This window comes from Homo sapiens, chromosome 2 (genome assembly GCF_000001405.40).
Source record: "Homo sapiens chromosome 2, GRCh38.p14 Primary Assembly".
Classification (NCBI taxonomy): domain Eukaryota; kingdom Metazoa; phylum Chordata; class Mammalia; order Primates; family Hominidae; genus Homo; species Homo sapiens.
Window position 1 is genome coordinate 210,502,720 of NC_000002.12, and position 19,852 is coordinate 210,522,571.

A 19,852-nucleotide genomic window follows, 5' to 3' on the forward strand; every position below is an offset into this window, starting at 1 on the left:
ACCCTTCATAGTCTCGTGACTTTCACATTGCTCTAATAAGATATCAAAATTTGAGTGAGGGGTTCAGTTCCTATCTCTGTTCTCCCAGTAATGCAACAAAAAGGGTAACTTGTCCCTCCTCTTTACATTTTAAAATAAGGAAGGGTTGAATTAGCTCAGTGTTTCTCAAGGCTTGATTCACCTTAATTGACTGAAGAGCTTTTTAAAAATCCCAATTTCTTTGGCCCTTGTCATAGACATTCTGATTCCTTTTATTTGGCAGAAGACCCAGGCACTGACCTAATTTTTAAAAGTTCTGTATATGGTTCTCTTGTGCAGGCAGAATTGAGATCATTGGCTTTGCTAAGGTATCTCCAGCACTGACATCCTGTGACTAGGTGGATAATTTAACTCTTCCTAACTCTACAGAAAAAGTGAGAAGCTCTAGAGATTCCACTGGTAACCTCTTCAAGGTTATGTCACATGCTGCCACTAGATGGCGCAGGCAATTCTTGGGACGGAGGAGATTCTGGTTATTTGGGATTTTCATTTTCCCTGTGCAATATACTTGAGACACTCAGCTTAAGAAGCTTCGTGGGGGAATGACATTTTAGCTCCTTTCCCAAAGCTCGAGGCCCAGAAGGTAGAGCTGTTTTGCTTGACAAGTTGATAGAGAGAGACTCATTAAATAAACGTTCTATCGTCTGAAGGGAGAAAGTAAAACCCCCGGCATAAATATTAGTTCACATTTTTCTTATTATTTCCAGCAGGTGTGTGTTCTCCCCTTCTCTGTGTCTTTCTCTCTCTTACTCTTTGTTGGTGGCCTCTTTTTACCTTTATCTTTTCCCTTTTCTTGGTTTCTGTCTGTAACCACTGTTTGTAAACTGGTTATGATGAATTTACAGGTGGATTAAATCTTAGTTTGCCACCTTTGTCGTAGATAAAAATTTTAGGAATCCAAAAACGATACCTACACAATATTCTTAGAAGGGTGAACACATTCAGGTTACAATGGAAAAATTCTTATTCAGGAGACTTCCTCTGCAATGTTGTTTGTTCATAGCAGCTGTGGTAGCACCCGCCAAATCCAGGAAGAAAGAATTTTATGCCGTATCAGGGAAAAACAGTCAAAATCCTTTCCTCTTTACAGCACAATTCGGGTGACGGCCAAAGCTCTTAGTGTACATACAAGTAGGGGTTTTTGCACAATAATAGGGTGTGCTTCTCTGATGCTTTTCACTGGAAGACCACATAGCACATTGCTGCTTTATTCCATAAAGCTGCCTCTTTCCCCTGGGCTGTCAGAATAGGAAGATGTGTTGTGATTTTTTTTTTCAAAGAGATTGCATTCCTTCCCTGGCTTTGTCCCAGCCCAGCTGCTTGTTGTTCAGGGAGATGCTGCGCTTTTGGTGCCAGGATATACCACTGTGCTTTCTTTTTCCCTGAGTGACATATACTGATGGGTCACTGCCTGAAACAGTGGAACAAGGCATGGTGTGTGTCCACCCGTGAAGATCCATTGTTTATTCTTCCCTAGTTTCCATCTAGCAGCATCAGGTTCCCATCTTCATTAAGAAACAAAACAACCGACCAAACAAATAAAACCCCACAAACAATGCAAAATAAACCACCACAAATGCAAGAAAAAAGTCTTTTTTAAATTTTACATTAATAGCTAACGTTGAGTGCAAACTATATTCTGGATATTGTTTTAATCACTTGTCATATGTTGTGTCATTAATCCTCACATCAGTGTCATGAGCTAGGTCCTATTATTATCCCCATTTTACAGATGAAGAAATTGAGTAAAAGTAGGGTTAAGTAAGTTGCTCAATGTCATGCAGCTGATAAGTTGCTGAGCCAAGCTCTGATTCCAGGCAATCTGACACAGTACACCTTAACTCTGTATCTAGATTCCAAAGGGTTGTGTATTGGAGTAACAAGCAAGTAAAGGATAGATTCTCCAATTGGATAGTTGTTAGAAAAGGGTGTATTTCCTGTTAATGTAGCTATATTTCTTTTGGTATAAGATTCAACAGATGCTCCAAACCCAGTTCTACCCCATGCTGGAGGACCTAAGTACATTGTGGCATACCCACTTCTTACTGGCAGAAAAATTAAAAGGCGGGAAACTTCCTTCTCAGTTGTGACTGGGATCATTTAGTGTGTCTGCACAATCCTAAATAAATTTGGAAAGTGAACAATTGGGAGGACGACCTACTTTTTTTTTCTGACTCACTTCTACACTACTTAAAAGTAAATAGGAATAGGGGCTGATATATAAGGCATTTGGGAGCTTTTTCTCGTTGGTCATACATTAACCTCTTTAGGTCAACAGAAGTCTGGAAGAAGGAGGCCACCACACACTCTGCCTAAGAGTGTGTTTTTAGTGTAATTCATGCTGTATTGGGCATGAAGAAAGCAGACAGCTTTCTGAAATGAGCTATTTCCAAGGGAGTACAATCATATTGCAAAGAAAGCACCTAGAAGGAAGAAATTCATCCTATAATTAGGGCTCTGAAATATTTTCAATCAACATATAGGTTGGTGCAAAAGTAATTGCAGTTTTTGCCATTGAAAGTAGTGGCCAAAACTGCAATTACTTTAGCACCAACCTAATATCATGAAGAAAGAAAAGAAGCACAGTCCTTGCTAGAAAACAGTGATAATCTCAATAGAAGAATCTAAGAGCTAGAAGACTCAGTTGGAAACAGCAGAATCGGGCCAAATAGGAACAGCTCCAGTCTACTGCTCCCGGCGTGAGCGACACAGAAGACGAATGATTTCTGCATTTCCAACTGAGGTACTGGGTTCATCTCACTGGGGAGTATCAGACAGTGGGTGCAGGACAGTGGGTGCAGTGCACTGAGCATGAGCCGAAGCAGGGCGAGCATCGCCTCACCCGGGAAGCACAAGGGGTCAGGGAATTCCCTTTCTTAGCCAGGGAAAGGGGTGACAGAGGGCACCTGGAAAATTGGGTCACTCCCACCCTAACACTTTGCTTTTCCAACCGTCTTAGCAAACGGCACACCAGGAGATTGTATCCCACACCTGGCACGAAGGGTCCTATGCCCACGGAGACTTGCTCATTGCTAATACAGCAGTCTGAGATCAAACTGCAAGGTGGCAGCGAGGCTGGGGGAGGGGCACCTGCCATTGCTGAGGCTTGAGTATGTAAAAAAAGCACAGGGAAGCTCGAACTGGGTGGAGCCCACCGCAGCTCAAGGAGGCATGGCTGCCTCTGTAGACTCCACCTCTGGGGGCAGGCATAGCCAAACAAAAGGCAGCAGAAACCTCTGCAGACTTAAATGTCCCTGTCTGACAGTTTTGAAGAGAGTAGTGGTTCTCCCAGCATGCAGCTGGAGATCTGGAATGGACAGACTGCCTCCTCAAGTGGGTGCTGACCCCCGAATAGCCTAACTGGGAGGCACTCCACAGTAGGGGCAGACTGACACCTCACATGGCCGGGTACTCCTCTGAGACAAAACTTCCAGAGGAACGATCGGGCAGCAACATTTGCTGTTCGCCAATATCCGCTGTTCTGCAGCCTCCGCTTCTGATACCCAGGCAAACAGGGTCAGGAGTGGACCTCCAGCAAACTCCAACAGACCTGCAGCTGAGGGTCCTGACTGTTAGAAGGAAAACTAACAAGCAGAAAAGACATCCACACCAAAACCCCATCTGTATGTCACCATCATCAAAGACCAAAGGTAGATAAAACCACAAAGATGGGGAAAAAACAGAGCAGAAAAACTGAAAATTCTAAAATCAGAGCGCCTCTTCTACTCTACTCCAAAGGAACGCAGCTCCTCACCAGCAATGAAACATGGAGAATGACTCTGACGAGCTGAGAGAAGGCTTCAGACAATCAAACTACTCCAAGCTAAAGGAGGAAGTTCGAACCCATGGCAAAGAAGTTAAAAACCTTGAAAAAAGATTAGACAAATGGCTAACTAGAATAACCAATGCAAAGAAGTCCTTAAAGGACCTGATGGAGCTGAAAACCAAGGCACGAGAACTACGTGACGAATGCACAAGCCTCAGTAGCCAATTCGATCAACTGGAAGAAAGGGTATCAGTGATGGAAGATCAAACGAATGAAATGAAGTGAGAAGAGAAGTTTAGAGAAAAAAGAATAAAAAGAAATGAACAAAGCCTCCAAGAAATATGGGACTTTGTGAAAAGACCAAATCTATGTCTGATTGGTGTACCTGAAAGTGACAGGGAGAATGGGACCAAGTTGGAAAACACTCTGCAGGATATTATCCAGGAGAACTTCCCTAATCTAGCAAGGCAGGCCAACATTCAGATTCAGGAAATACAGAGAACGCCACAAAGATACTCCTCAAGAAGAGCAACTCCAAGACACAGAATTGTCAGATTCACCAAAGTTGAAATGCAGGAAAAAATGTTAAGGGCAGCCAGAGAGAAAGGTCGGGTTACCCATAAAGGGAAGCCTATCAGACTAACAATGGATCTCTCGGCAGAAACTCTAGAAGGCAGAAGAGAGTGGGGGCCAATATTCAACATTCTTAAAGAAAAGAATTTTCAACCCAGAATTTCTTATCCAGTGAAACTAAGCTTCATAAGTGAAGGAGAAATAAAATACTTTATAGATAAGCAAATGCTGAGAGATTTTCTCACCACCAGGCCTGCCCTAAAAGAGCTCCTGAAGGAAGCACTAAACATGGAAAGGAACAACTGGTACCACCCACTGCAAAAACATGCCAAATTGTAAAGACCAGCGAGGCTAGGAAGAAAGTGCATCAACTAACGAGCAAAATAACCAGCTAACATCATAATGACAGGATCAAATTCACACATAACAATATTAACCTTAAATGTAAATGGGCTAAATGCTCCAATTAAAAGACACAGACTGGCAAATTGGATAAAGAGTCAAGACCCATCAGTGTGCTGTATTCAGGAAACCCATCTCACATGCAGAGACACACATAGGCTCAAAATAAAGGGATGGAGGAAGATCTACCAAGCAAATGGAAAACAAAAAAAGGCAGGGGTTGCAATCCTAGTCTCTGATAAAACAGACTTTAAACCAACAAAGATCAAAAGTGACAAAGAAGGCCATTACATGATGGTAAAGGGATCAATGCAACAAGAAGAGCTAACTATCCTAAATATATATGCACCCAATACAGGAGCACCCAGATTCATAAAGCAAGTCCTTAGAGACCTACAAAGAGACTTAGACTCCCACACAATAATAATGGGAGACTTTAACACCCCACTGTCAACATTAGACAGATCAACGAGACAGAAAGTTAACAAGGATATCCAGAAATTGAATTCAGTTCTGCACCAAGCAGACCTAATAGACATCTACAGAACTCTCCACCCCAAATCAACAGAATAGACATTCTTTTCAGCACCACACCACACCTATTCCAAAATTGACCACATAGTTGGAAGTAAAGCACTCCTCAGCAAATGTAAAAGAACAGAAATTATAACAAACTGTCTCTCAGACCACAGTGCAATCAAACTAGAACTCAGGATTAAGAAACTCACTCAAAACCACTCAACTACACGGAAACTGAACAACCTGCTCCTGAGTGACTACTGGGTACATAATGAAATGAAGGCAGAAATAAAGATGTTCTTTGAAACCAATGAGAACAAAGACACAACATACCAGAATCTCTGGGACACATTCAAAGCAGTGTGTAGAGGGAAATTTATAGCACTAAATGCCCACAAGAGAAAGCAGGAAAGATCTAAAATTGACACCCTAACATCACAATTAAAAGAACTAGAGAAGCAAGAGCAAACACATTTAAAAGCTAGCAGAAGGCAAGAAATAACTAAGATCAGAGCAGAACTGAAGGAAATAGAGACACAAAAAACCCTTCAAAAAATCAATGAATCCAGGAGCTGGTTTTGTGAAAAGATCAACAAAATTGATAGACCACTAGCAAGACTAATAAAGAAGAAAACAGAGAAGAATCAAATAGATGCAATTAAAAAATGATAAAGGGGATATCACCACTGATCCTACAGAAATACAAACTACCATCAGAGAATAGTATAAACACCTCTACGCAAATAAACTAGAAAATCTAGAAGAAATGGATAAATTCCTTGACACATACACCCTCCCAAGACTAAACCAGGAAGAAGTTGAATCTCTGAATAGACCGATAACAGGCTCTGAAATTGAGGCAATAATTAATAGCTTACCAACCAAAAAAAGTCCGGGACCAGACAGATTCACAGCTGAATTCTACCAGAGGTACAAGGAGGAGCTGGTACCATTCCTTCTGAAACTATTCCAATCAATAGAAAAAGAGGGAATCCTCCCTAACTCATTTTATGAGGCCAGCATCATCCTGATACCAAAGCCTGGCAGAGACACAACAAAAAAAGAGAATTTTAGACCAAGATCCCTGATGAACATCAATGCAAAAATCCTCAATATAATACTGGCAAACCGAATCCAGCAGCACATCAAAAAGCTTATCCACCATGATCAAGTGGGCTTCATCCCTGGGATGCAAGGCTGGTTCAACATATGCAAATCATTAAACATAATCCAGTATATAAACAGAACCAATGACAAAAACCACATGATTATCTCAATAGATGCAGAAAAGGCCTTTGACAAAATTCAACAGCACTTCATGCTAAAAACTCTCAATAAATTAGGTATTGATGGGACATATCTCAAAATAATAAGAGCTATCTATGACAAACCCACAGCCAATATCATACTGAATGGGCAAAAACTGGAAGCATTCCCTTTGAAAACTGGCACATGATAGGGATGCCCTCTCTCACCACTCCTATTCAACATAGTGTTGGAAGTTCTGGCCAGGGCAATCAGGCAGGAGAAGGAAATAAAGGGTATTCAGTTAGGAAAAGAGGAAATCAAATTGTTCCTGTTTGCAGATGATGTGATAGTATATCTAGAAAACCCATCGTCTCAGCCCAAAATCTCCTTAAGCTGATAGGCAACTTCAGCAAAGTCTCAGGATACAAAATCAATGTGCAAAAATCACAAGCATTCTTATACCATTAGCAGACAAACAGAGAGCCAAATCATGAGTGAACTCCCATTCACAATTGCTTCAGAGAATAAAATACCTAGGATCCAACTTACAAGGGATGTGAAGGACCTCTTTAAGGAGAACTACAAACCACTGCTCAATGAAAATAAAAGAGGATACAAACAAATGGAAGAACATTCCATGCTCATGGGTAGGAACAATCAATATCGTGAAAATGGCCATACTGCCCAAGGTAATTTATAGATTCAATGCCATCCCCATCAAGCTACCAATGACTTTCTTCACAGAATTGGAGAAAACTACTTTAAAGTTCATATGGAACCAAAAAAGAGCCCGCATCGCCAAGTCAATCCTAAGCCAAAAGAACAAAGCTGGAGGCATCACACTACCTGACTTCAAACTATACTACAAGGCAACAGTAACCCAAACAGCATGGTACTGGTACCAAAACAGAGATCTAGACCAATGGAACAGAACAGAGCCCTCAGAAATAATGCCACGTTATCTACAACTATCTGATCTTTGACAAACCTGACAAAAACAAGCAATGGGGAAAGGATTCCCTATTTAATAAATGGTGCTGGGAAAACTGGCTAGCCATATGTAGAAAGCTGAAACTGGATCCCTTCCTTACACCTTATACAAAAATTAATTCAAGATGGATTAAAGATTTAAATGTTAGACCTAAAACCATAAAAACCCTAGAAGAAAACCTAGGCAATACCATTCAGGACATAGGCATGGGCAAGGGCAAGGACTTCATGTCTAAAACACCCAAAGCAATGGCAACAAAAGCCAAAACTGACAAATGGGAACTAATTAAACTAAAGAGCTTCTGCACAGCAAAAGAAACTATCATCAGAGTGAATAGGCAACCTACAGAATGGGACAAAATTTTTGCAATCTGCTCATCTGACAAAGGGCTAATATCCAGAATCTACAAAGAACTCAAACAAATTTACAAGAAAAAAACAACCCCATCAACAAGTGGGCGAAGGATATGAACAGACGCTTCTCAAAAGAAGACATTTATGCAGCCAAAAGACACATGAAAAAATGCTCATCATCACTGGCCATCAGAGAAATGCAAATCAAAACCACAATGAGATACCATCTCACACCAGTTAGAATGGCGATCATTAAGAAGTCAGGAAACAACAGGTGCTGAAGAGGATGTGGAGAAATAGGAACAATTTTACACTGTTGGTGGGACTGTAAACTAGTTCAACAATTGTGGAAGTCAGTGTGGCGATTCCTCAGGGATCTAGAACTAGAAATATCGTTTGACCCAGCCATCCCATTACTGGATGTATATCCAAAGGACTATAAATCATGCTGCTATAAAGACACATGCACACGTATGTTTATTGTGGCACTATTCACAATAGCAAAGACTTGGAACCAACCCAAATGTCCAACAATGATAGACTGGATTAAGAAAATGTGGCACATATACACCATGGAATACTATGCAGCCTTAAAAAATGATGAGTTCATGTCCTTTGTAGGGACATGGATGAAGCTGGAAACCATCATTCTCAGCAAACCATCGCAAGGAGAAAAAACCAAACACCGCATGTTCTTACTCATAGGTGGGAAATGAACAATGAGAACACATGGACACAGGAAGGGGAACATCACACACTTGGGGCCTGTTGTGGGGTGGGGGTAGCGGGTAGGGAGAGCATTAGGAGATATACCTAATGCTAAATGACGAGTTAATGGGTGCAGCACACCAACATGGCACATGTATACATATGTAACAAACCTGCACATTGTGCACATGTACCCTCAAACTTAAATTATAATAATAAACAAAAAGAAAACAGCAGAATCACAGGGCAAATGTCCATGGGAGCTGATGAAGAGAGACTCAGTATTCAAAGACTTTTACAACTTCATAAGCAAAGCTTAAGACTCAGTGATAGGCTCACGTGATACTCCCGGTCAAACCTAATGAGACAAGGACGGTAATGGGGTTTGCCTAGAACAACATAGAAAGGAGCTATTACCAGATCCACCTGGTTGAGGGTAAATACAATTCCTGAATGAGGGAGGACTATAGACTAAACTCAAAACTGACTGAAATATTTTACAATTGCAGGCATATATACCTTGTGTATTTTTCTTATTTACACATTGTGGTTTCAATAATCTTCAATAAATTTATTCACATCAACATCATTCTCTAGTTAAAGAATTTCTCTTAAGTCTTATTCTACATGAGTCATTGAACCCCAAATTGAGCCAAATTTCAGATTCACCAATTAATTGCCTCCTGATATTTCCTTACCACCCACAGGCAGCTCAAGTTGGACATCATTAAAAGTGAACTTACCATTTTTCCCTAGCCCTCTTCATTTTCCTAGAGACCACATTTCAGAGAATGACAAAACCAGCTGCATTGTTTCTAAAGCCCGAAACATGGATGGTGACTTTTATGTGTGCAAATATTTACTTATGTTTTTCTTTTATTATTATTTTTTCAACTTTTATTTTGGATTCAGACGTTACATGTGCAGGTTTGTTACATGGGTATATTGTGTGATGCCAAGGTTTGGGATACAAATGATACCATCACCCAGATAGTGGGCATAGTACCCAACAATTTTCCAATCCTTGTCCCCATGCCTCCTTCCCCACTCCAGTATTCCCCAGTTTCTCTTGTTGCCATCTTTATGTTCATGAGTACCCAATGTTTAGCTCCCACTTAAAAGTAAGAACATGCAGTATTTGGTTTTTTGTTCCTGCATTAATTCATTTAGGATAATGGCCTCCAGCTACATCCACATTGCAGCAAAGGACATGATTTTATTCTTTTTTTATGGCTGTGTAATATTCTATGGTATATATGCAGCATGTTTTCTTTGTTCAATCTACCATTAATGGGCACCTAGGTTGATTCCATATCTTTGCTATTCTGAAGAGTGCTGCAATGAACATGTGTATGCATGTGTCTTTTTGGTAGAACAATTTATTTTCTTTTGGATACATACATATCCTCCAGTAGTTTTATATATATATATATATATATATATATATATATATATATATATATATATGGAGAGAGAGATATATATATATGGAGAGAGAGAGATATATATATGGAGATATACATATATGGAGATATATATATATAGATATATATATATAGAGATATATATATGGAGATATATATATATGGAGATATATATATGGAGATATATATATATGGAGAGATATATATATGGAGATATATATATGGAGATATATATATATGGAGAGATATATATATGGAGATATATATATATCTATATATCTATATATTTATATATATATGGAGATATATATATATGGAGATATATATGTGGAGATATATATATGGAGATACATATATATGGGGATATATATATGGAGATATATATATATGGAGATATATATATGGGGAGATATATATATATGTATGGATATATATATATATCTCTCTCTCTCCATAATGGGATTGCTGGGTCAAATGGTAGTTCTGCTTTGAGTTCTTTGAGAAATCTCTAAACTGCTTTCTACAGTAGCTGAGCTAATTTACATTCCCTTCAACAGTGTATAAGCATTCCCTTTTCTCCACAGCCTCACCAGCATCTGTGTTTTTTGACTTTTTAATAACAGCCATTCCTACTGGTGTGAGATGGAATCTCACTGTGGTTTTGACTTGCATTTCTCTGACAGTTATGTGGAGCATTATTTCATATGTTTGCTGACATATGAGAAGACATACGTTGTATGTCTTCTTGTGAGAAATGTCTGTCCATGTCTGTTGCCTGTTTTTTAATGGGGTTAAGTTGGTTTTTGCCTGTTGAATTGTTGAAGTTGCTTATAGATTCCAGATAGTAGACCTTTGTTGGATGCATAGTTTGCAAATATTTTCTCCCATTCTGTAGGTTGTCTGTGTACTCTGTTGATAGTTTCTTCTGCTGTGCAGCTCTTTAGTTTAATTAGGTCCCACTTGTGAATTTTTGTTTCTGTTGCAAGTGCTTTTGAGGACTTAGTCATAAATTCTTTCCCAAGGCCAATGTCCAGAATGGTGTTTCTTAGGCTTTCTTCTAGGATTCTTATAGTTTGAGGTCTTACATTAAATCTTTAATCCATCTTCAGTGGCTTTTTGTGTATGGTGAAAGGTAGGAGTCCAGTGTCATTTTTCTGCATATGGCTAGTCAGATATCCCAGGACAATTTATTGAATAGGAAGTTCTTTCCCCATTGCTTGTTTTTGTTGAGTTTGTCAAAGATCAGATGGCTGTACGTGGCACTGTTTCTGGGCTCTCTATTCTGTTTCATTGGTCTATATGCCTGTTTTTGTAGCAGTAGCATGCTGTTTTTGTTACTGTAGCTTTATAGTATAGTTTTAAGTTGGGTGATGTTATGTTTCCAGCTTTGTTCTTTTTGCTTAGTATTCCTTTGGCTTCTCAAGCTCTTTTTTGGTTCCATATGAATTGTAGAATAGTTTCTTCTAGTTCTGTAAAAAATGACATTGGTTGTTTGATAGGAATAGTGTTGAATCTGTAGCTTGCTTTGGGAAGTGTGGCCATTTTAATAATATTGATTCTTCCTATCCATGAACATAAAATGTTTTTCCATTTGTTTGTGTCATCTATGATTCCTTTGAGGAGTGTTTTGTATTTCTCCTTGTAGAGATCTCTCACCTCCTTAGGTAGATGTATTCCTAGGTATTTTTTTTTGTAGCTATTGTAAATGAGACTGCATTCTTGATTAGGCTCTCAGCTTGAACATTATTGGTATATGGAAATGCTCTGGATTTTTGTACATTGATTTTATATTGTGAAACTTTACTGAAAGTGTTTATCTGTTCCAGAAGCTTTGGCAGGGTCTTTAGGGTTTTCTAGGCATAGAATCATATAATCAGTGAAGAGAGATAGTTAGACTTCTTCTTTACCTATTTGGATGCCTTTTATTTCCTTATCTTGCTTGATTGGTCTGCTTGGTACTTCTAGTACTATGTTGAATTGGTTGAATTGGAGTGGTAAGAATAGGCATCCTTGTCTTGTTCCAGTTCTCAATGGGAATGCTTCTTTTTTTTTTTTTGGTCTGTTTAGTGTGATGCTGGTTGTGCATTTGTCATAGATGACTCTTCTTATTTTCAGGTACATTGCTTCAGTGCCTAGTTTGTTGAGTTTTTTTTTTTAATCATTAAGCGATGTTGGATTTTATCTAAAGCTTTTTCTACCTCTTTTACAATGATCATATGTTTTGTTGTTAATTCTCTTTATGTGGTAAATCGAATTTATTGATATGTGTATGTTGCATGAACTTTACACCCTAGGAATGAAGGCTACATCATCATGGTGAATTAACTTTTCAATATGCTGTTGAATTTGATTTGCTAGTATCTTGTTGAAGATTTTTGTGTCTATGTTGATCAGGAATATTGGCCTGCATTTTGTTTTTTTTTCTTTGTGTCTTTTCCAGGTTTTGGTATCAGGTGAATGCTGGCTTCATAGAATGAGTTAGGAAGGAGTCCTTCCTCTTTCTGTTTTTGGAGTAATTTCTGTAGAATTGAAACAAGCTCTTCTTTGTATGTCTGGTAGAATTTTGCTGTGAATCTATTTGCTGTAGAGCTTTTTTTGGTTGGTAGGTTTTTTTTTATTACTGATTCAATTTTGGAACTTGATATTGGTCTGTTAAAGGTTTCAATATTTCTTTCTGATTAAATGTTAGTAGATTGTGTGTTTCTAGGAATTTATGTGTTTCCTCTAGATTTTGTATTTTGTGTGTGTAGATGTGTTCATAGTCGTCTCTGAGAATCTTTTGTATTTCTGTGGGATTGGTGCTAATGTCACTTTTGTTGTTTCTGATTGTGCTTATTTTGATCTCTCTCTTTTTGTTGTTAATCTAGGTAGTGGTCTCTTGATCTTGTTTATTCTTTCAAAGAACCCACTTTTAGTTTTGTTGATGTTTTTTGTATAGATTTTTGTGTCTCATTTCATTCAGTTCCACTCTGTTAGTTATTTCTTTCCTTTTGCTAGCTGCGGGGTTAGTTTATTTACCTTTTTCTAGTTCCTGTAGGTGTGATGTTAGATCGTTAATTTGAGATCTTTCTAGCTTTTTGAGGTGGGTATTTAGTGCTATAATCTTTTGTCATAACATTGCTTTTGCTGCATCACAGAGATTTTGCTATGTTGTATCTCTGTTTTCATTTATTTCAAGGAAATTAAAAAATTTTCTTCCTTAATTTCATTGTTTACCCAAAAGTCATTTAGGAGGAGCAGGGTGTTATTAATTTCATGTAATTCTGTGGTTTTGAGAGATCTTCTTGATATTGCTTTCTGTTTCATTCCACTGCGGTGTGAGAGTATTTCTATGTTTTTGAATTTATTGAAATTCAATAAATTTGAATGGCTGAGCATGTGGTTGACCTTTGAGTATGTTCTGTGTGTAGATGTGAAAGATGTACATTCTATGGTTGCTGGGTGGAGTATTTTTAGGTGTCTATTAGGTACCATTTGTCAAGTGTCATATTTAAGTCCAGAATTTTTTGTTAGTTTTCTGCCTCAATGATCTGTCTAATGCTGTCAGTGGGGTTTAAGTTCGGTTGATGACTTCTTATACTTCTCTCTTTCTTATTCTTTCTCTCTCACCACCTCATCCAATTGATTCACAATGCCTACACCTTCTATTTTCTAACAAACTCTTGAATTTAATTGCGCCTTTTCCTCTTTCCCAGTGTCTTTAAGTTCACAATCCTTTCACTTCTAACCTATGTTATTGTCTTTCTGTCTCCTCTGACCACATTCCTATGTGCTCTTCTCTTTGCTTTGGTGATTTTTCTAACACGCATATCTGATCATATTACTTCTCTGTTTAAACTCCTTCAGTAGTTCTGTAGAGCCTTTAGGACGAAACTAAACTCTGCCTTACTGAATTAAGCACATGATGATTTGAACTCTGGTTATCTCTACCTCATACCCCCACCTCATCTTTTGCATGCAGTGCTCCACATGGGCTACTGGATCAGGTCTTGCTATCTTTATATATGCTGTTCTCTCTATCATCCCTTACTTGTCCTTCACAACTCAGCTCATGCTATCTTCTGCAGAAAGCTTTTAAATGATAGACCCCAGCTATATAGTTAAGACTTCACTTTTTCTTTGATTCTTCAATATTTTTCCAATTCATCTCTTTACCACATCTATGATATCAGGCTTTTCTTATTCCATATCAGTTATTTATTAAAATATTAGCTTGCTTTTTCTAATGTCCTTTTCCTGTCTCTATTCTTTGTCTTTATGCATATATTAATATATGTCTATTGGTGCTGAGTTTTGGCTTAGTCTTTTCTATATCCCTATTTTATTTCTCTACATATTTTCCATATGATGTTTTATAAACGAGGAAATATTTCATAAAGGACCTTATAATTCCACTTTATTAATAACACTAACCTAAGGAAAGTCCAAGACAAACACATTGAACTTTTTCACTAAATTCTTTTAAGTTAGTCTTGCTGTAATCATACTGTTCTCAGCAGTTAAACGTTTAGTTGTATCAAAGACTAATATACTTTATTGGTGCATAATCTTCAAAGAGTCTTAAGGTCTCCAAACCAGAGAGCTAGCACAGGCATAGGTCAGAAGTCCACGGCGTGCTCATGACTTATTGTAAAGTAAAGGTTTCTATTTGTCGATGATAAGACAAGTAGACTAAGATCAGCCCAATTCATAAATTTGGTCTGGGTCAGATGCAATTCACAGATATCAACCAATAGATGTGTGAATTGCAATTGTTAGTGGCCTTGAACTGCCCCACCTTGAATCGAGGGAAATCAATGTGGCTTTGTTCAGCAGTGACTGCCTGAAAGGACCATAAATCAGGAGCCTCCACAGAACCCTTTTATTGTCAAGGTAATGGCAAAGAAAAATGATAGCAGTTATTCCATTTACAGAGTTTAGCCTTTTTTCTTCTTCCTGATTGTTGTTTCTTCCAGTTTTCTTTTTGTATCTGAATAATCACAGCATGTAGCTTTTGAATTTTTTTCCTAGAGGAATGTGTGATATAAAACACCATAAAGTTCGCAGTTAGAAGGATGTCTTAAATAATTTTGTCAAAACTCTTATGGCTATGCTGTAGTTTGAACTGGCCAACCAAACGGTCATCCAAAATTAGAGTTTTATACCTTTGGTAACTGTTAGCCACCGTTTCTAATTTCATATCGTAATTATATGTCAGACCCAGGCCATTATACATGCTATCTATGTGACTGAAATTTGTTCATTTTCCCCTATAAAAACTGATTAGTAGCAGTAGATTGCTGTTGGTAATGCTATGATAGTTTAAGTGCCATATAGTTTAAGAACCATATATGGTTCTCTATAGTCATGATGCCCTGACATTTTTGTATGTTGTGGTCTGTTGTGTCTTTCCAGAGATTTGTCACTAATATTTCTCAAGGTACCAACTATTGTGAGTTTCTAATTTTATAAATTAGACTAGATTTGCAGTGATCTCTATGATGATGCTGTTACTGCCACTTAATTTCTTTAGTGGGAGAGATAGTATTGCTGGGGCCATTTGTCCCAGGTATATTAGCCAAATGCTAATTATTGCTCAATATCTGTTCTCTTCCTTTTCCTTAGTAAAAGAAGACCAGATTTTTCAAGTAGGTAGATGCGTGGTTAGAATAAAGACTATATTTCCCAACCATTCTTGTAGATAGATGTGGCCATTTACTGTGTTCTGGCCAATGGAATGAAGGTGGAAGTAATGTCCAGCTTACTGAAAGTGTCTCCAAAGGGAATGGCTTGCTACTTTTTCTTCTTTCTTTTTTCTATATGACTGGAATACAGATATGATGGCTGAGGCACCAGCAGCCATGTTGGACCTTGGGAAAGGAAGTCACGTAAGAAAAGGAACAGGGTCTCATTCTGTGTAGCCTCATAGCTGCCCAACTGCTGTATTTAACAGATGTGGGAGAGAACTAAGTTTCTAACTTATTAAGCTTCGGCTATTTTTTTTTCTGAACTAAATTCTCTTTATTACAAAATACAAACAAAATAAAGATTGAGAACTGACACTGACAATTACGTGTTTCCTAAATTCCCGACCAACATTTCTGAATGCTGAACCTTTCCAGGTGGGTGACCTGCAGGCCCTTTAAATCTAAATTTACCAAATTCAGCTCATTATCTTAACCTCAAAATTTTCTCCTCTTGTGTTTTTTAAGGTTTTTATTAATTCCAAATGAAAGCCTTAAAAACATCTTTAGTTCCTACCCTTCTCTCACCAATTATGTGAGTGAAACCAGCAGAGTTAAGATTTTCTTCTGAAATGGTCTTACAAAATCAGAATACAATCTTAAGTTTCTTGATGAGTTTCTGTAGAAAATTAGATGTGTTTATTAACTTGTGCCAAGTTGTTCCTTGCTCTTTGTATAACTGTCCCATCTTTACACATTAATTATTAATTTTGCCTTATCAGAGTTGCTATTTAATACTTTAATTCAACTTCTGGAGAACTGATTGCATTTTGCCCAAGGTGTAATCCCACTTTCTGAAACTACAGATAAGTTATATGAAAATTCTTTAAAAATGAATAGACTATGTGCATCTAAAGTATTCCTAATATATTTCATATTCTTTTGATGCCATTCTGAAAGTGAAACTATAATTCATCACTTTAGTATCAGTAATAAACATTAAAAAGGTGTTGCATCTGAAGTTTGAAATACTGTAGTGTACAAAATTTTCTTTCCTAGAAAGTGATGCTTAAAGAAATGTTAGTAGTTTGGCATAGGTCTAATTCTGAATAATTATTGTCATTGACAACTATCATTATTTGCAGCTACCCATTATCTTCTAAATGGCCTTCAGAAATGATGGAGAAACTGACACGTTATGAGTATTTCCTGCCCTACATGGATTTTGAACTTGAATTCCCAGCCTCGCTTGCATCTAGACACAGGCACGTGACCCAAGCCCCACCAGTCAGACAAACCCAATTGAAACTTTAGTTCAAAAGCATCCAGTATGAGGGAGCAGTGAAGTTTGCATTTTCCTGATGAAAATGTTGGAAGAGGTATTTGGCTTTGTTGGCGGGGAGGGCAATGATTTATGCAAAAGTTCCTAATGAAAAAATGGCTTTGTTCTGGGTTGTAGTGATATAATCAGAGATGCGTTCCAGCATACAGTGCTCAGAGGCAGCTGTGGTAGCTGTGGTTTTCTCATCAGCCTGTCTCTGTCATGTTCCTGGAAACACATCTATATGCTTATTGTTATATTCCTCAGATAAGTTCTGAGAAATACAAATCGTCATTGTTTATTTACTTATATTTTTAAATCAAATTTCTGATTTATTCATGTATTCCAGTTCATCCTAAGATGGTGATGTATGCCTCGGTATTGATTTTGCTAAATTTATATAACTTTGATAAATATAAAACACATATATTTTAGAAAGTTTATTAATGTATAATTGACATCCAATAAATTTTACTCATAAAGTATTTAATTTTATGCACTTTTGCATATGTATACATCTGTGAAACTATTACCAGAGTCAAGATAGTTAATCTAGCCATCACACCCAATGTTTCTTTATTTTATTTTACTTTAAGTTCTGAGATACATGTGCAGAACATGCAGGTTTGTTACATAGGTATATATGTGCCATGGTGGTTTGCTGCACCTATCAACCCGCCATCTAGGTTTTAAGCCCCACATGCATTAGTATTGGTCCTAGTGCTCTCCCTCCCCTTGTCCTCCACCTCACGATGGGCCCCAGTGTGTGATGTTCCCCTCCCTGTGTCCATGTGTTCTCATTGTTCAACTCCCATTTATAAGTGAGAACATGCACACTCAATATTTCTTAATGCCTTTTCATTATCTCTCCTTTTTGCCTACTCTGTCTGTCTCTAGTTGACTCTTGATCTATTTCTGTCACTATACATTAGTTTGAATTCTAAAATTTTATACAAATGGAATCATACAGTATGGATTATTTTTTGTCTAGCTTCTTTCACCAAACATTATTATTTTGAGGTTCCTCCATATTGTTGTGTTTGGCAATCAATGGTTCATTTCTTTTCATTGCTGAGTATTCCATGGTATGAATGTACTACAATGTTTTTTACTCACTCACCTGTATGAATATCAGAATATTTGGGTTTGTTTTTAGCTACTACAAAATAAAGCTGCTAAGAGCATTCATGTGCAAAAGTTTTATGGGCATATGTTGTCATTTCTCTTGGGGGAAAAAGGGGATCCAATAGTGGATCATGCGGTGAGTGTATGTTAGGCTTTTCATGAAGCTTCAAAATTGTTTATCAAAGTGGTTGCAACATTTTATATTCCCACCAGCAGTGTATAGGAGTTTCAATTCTTTGAGGACCTCACCAACATTTGCCAAGGCTAGTCTTTCAAATTGTAGCCATTCTTATAAGCAGGTAGTATCATCTCATGGTAACTACAACTTGCATTTCTCTAATGGCTAATTTTTTGAAAGATTTCCTTGTTACAGAATCCTAGATTGACAGATTTTTTTCTAGTAGTTTAAATATGTTTATCCTTAATCCTTAATCATCCTTTCATCCTCATCTTTTTTCTTTCTACATGTTTCCTTTTTTTCTCAATTTTCAAGATTTTTCTCTTTATTAATGGTTTTGGGCAATTTTATTATAATATTCCTTGGTGTAGTTTTCTTCATGTTTCTTGTGCTTGAGGATCATTGAGCTTGCTTCTACTATTGGTTTATAGTTTTTATCAAATTTAGAAGATTTTAACCACTGATTTTCACATAGTTTTCTGTTAAAAAATTATTTTTCTTTTCATGTTTCATTTTACAGAGTTTCCATTGCTATGTGTTTGAGTTCACTGCTCTTTTCTTCTGCAATATATACTTTGGAGTTAATCCCATCCAGCAGATTTTTAATATCAGACATTGTAGTTTTTATCTCCATAAGTTTAATGCTTGTTTTTAAAAATATCTCTCATGACTCAACTGCTTGAACTTATGAAATAACTACTTTAATTTCCTTGTCAATTCTAAAATTTGAGTCAGTTCCAGGTTAGTTTTGATTGACTTATTTTTCTCCACATTATCAATTATATTTCCTGCTTCTTTGCATGCCTGGTAATTTTTATTGGATGTCAGACACTGTGATTTATTTGATGCTAGAGATTTTTGGTTTATTATAAATATCCTTAAGCATTGTTCTAGGTCACAGCTAATTACTTGGTAACAGTTTGAGCCTTTTGGATCTTGCTCTTATGACTTCTTAGGTGGAATCAGACCCACATATAGACTATGGCTAATTATTTCCCACTATTGAAGCAAGGCTCTTCTGACTCTAATACTCTGTGAATTAGGAGGTCTTTTAGTTTTTCTGTTCCCTCTGATCTTTCCAGGTGGTTCTTTTCCTAGCCTTGGGTAACTTCTTCACATGCGAGTGTTGAATACTTCAGGGAGACCATCTGCAGATCACCAAAGTTCTTGATATATTCTGGATACATGTCTTTACCAGTAATATGATTTACAAATATTTTCTGCCAGTCAGTGTTTTATGTTTTCATGTTCTTAACAATGCCTTTGAAGTCAAATTTTTAAGTTTTGATAAAGTCCAATTTATCATTCTTGTATTTTAAGGATCAAGCTTTGGTGTAGTTAAGTGTTATTTTTAAGAATTTTTTTTAAACTTTAGCTAGAGTAGATTTTGTTGTTTGCAAGTCAGAAATCTGACTGATATGATAATTAAAGAAAAAGGCCAAGAGAATTGCATTTTCATTCCATAAATTTTGAATCTAAAATGTGAGTGAGATACTCTGGAATCATAACAATTTATTCTGGACTCATAGTTTCTGTTGCTTG

The 19,852-nt window shown here is 37.3% G+C and overlaps 1 protein-coding gene across 3 annotated transcripts in view; it reads left to right on the forward strand.

Moving 5' to 3' along the window:
- Positions 1-19,852, forward strand: part of CPS1 (carbamoyl-phosphate synthase 1) — a 201,423-nt gene that overhangs the window by 25,035 nt on the left and 156,536 nt on the right. The window contains exon 2 of one of the 3 annotated variants that reach the window (NM_001369257.1): positions 16,832-16,951. The exons of 1 other annotated variant lie outside the window; for it this stretch is intronic. Coding sequence is in view for 1 of the 2 variants with exons in the window: in NM_001369256.1 (NP_001356185.1) it covers positions 17,048-17,065 (18 nt within the window). In the remaining variant the exon portion in view is untranslated. Of the gene's footprint in view, positions 1-16,831; positions 16,952-16,998; positions 17,066-19,852 lie in introns of those variants that run through there. One more of the 3 variants, NM_001369256.1, reaches the window with a different exon arrangement.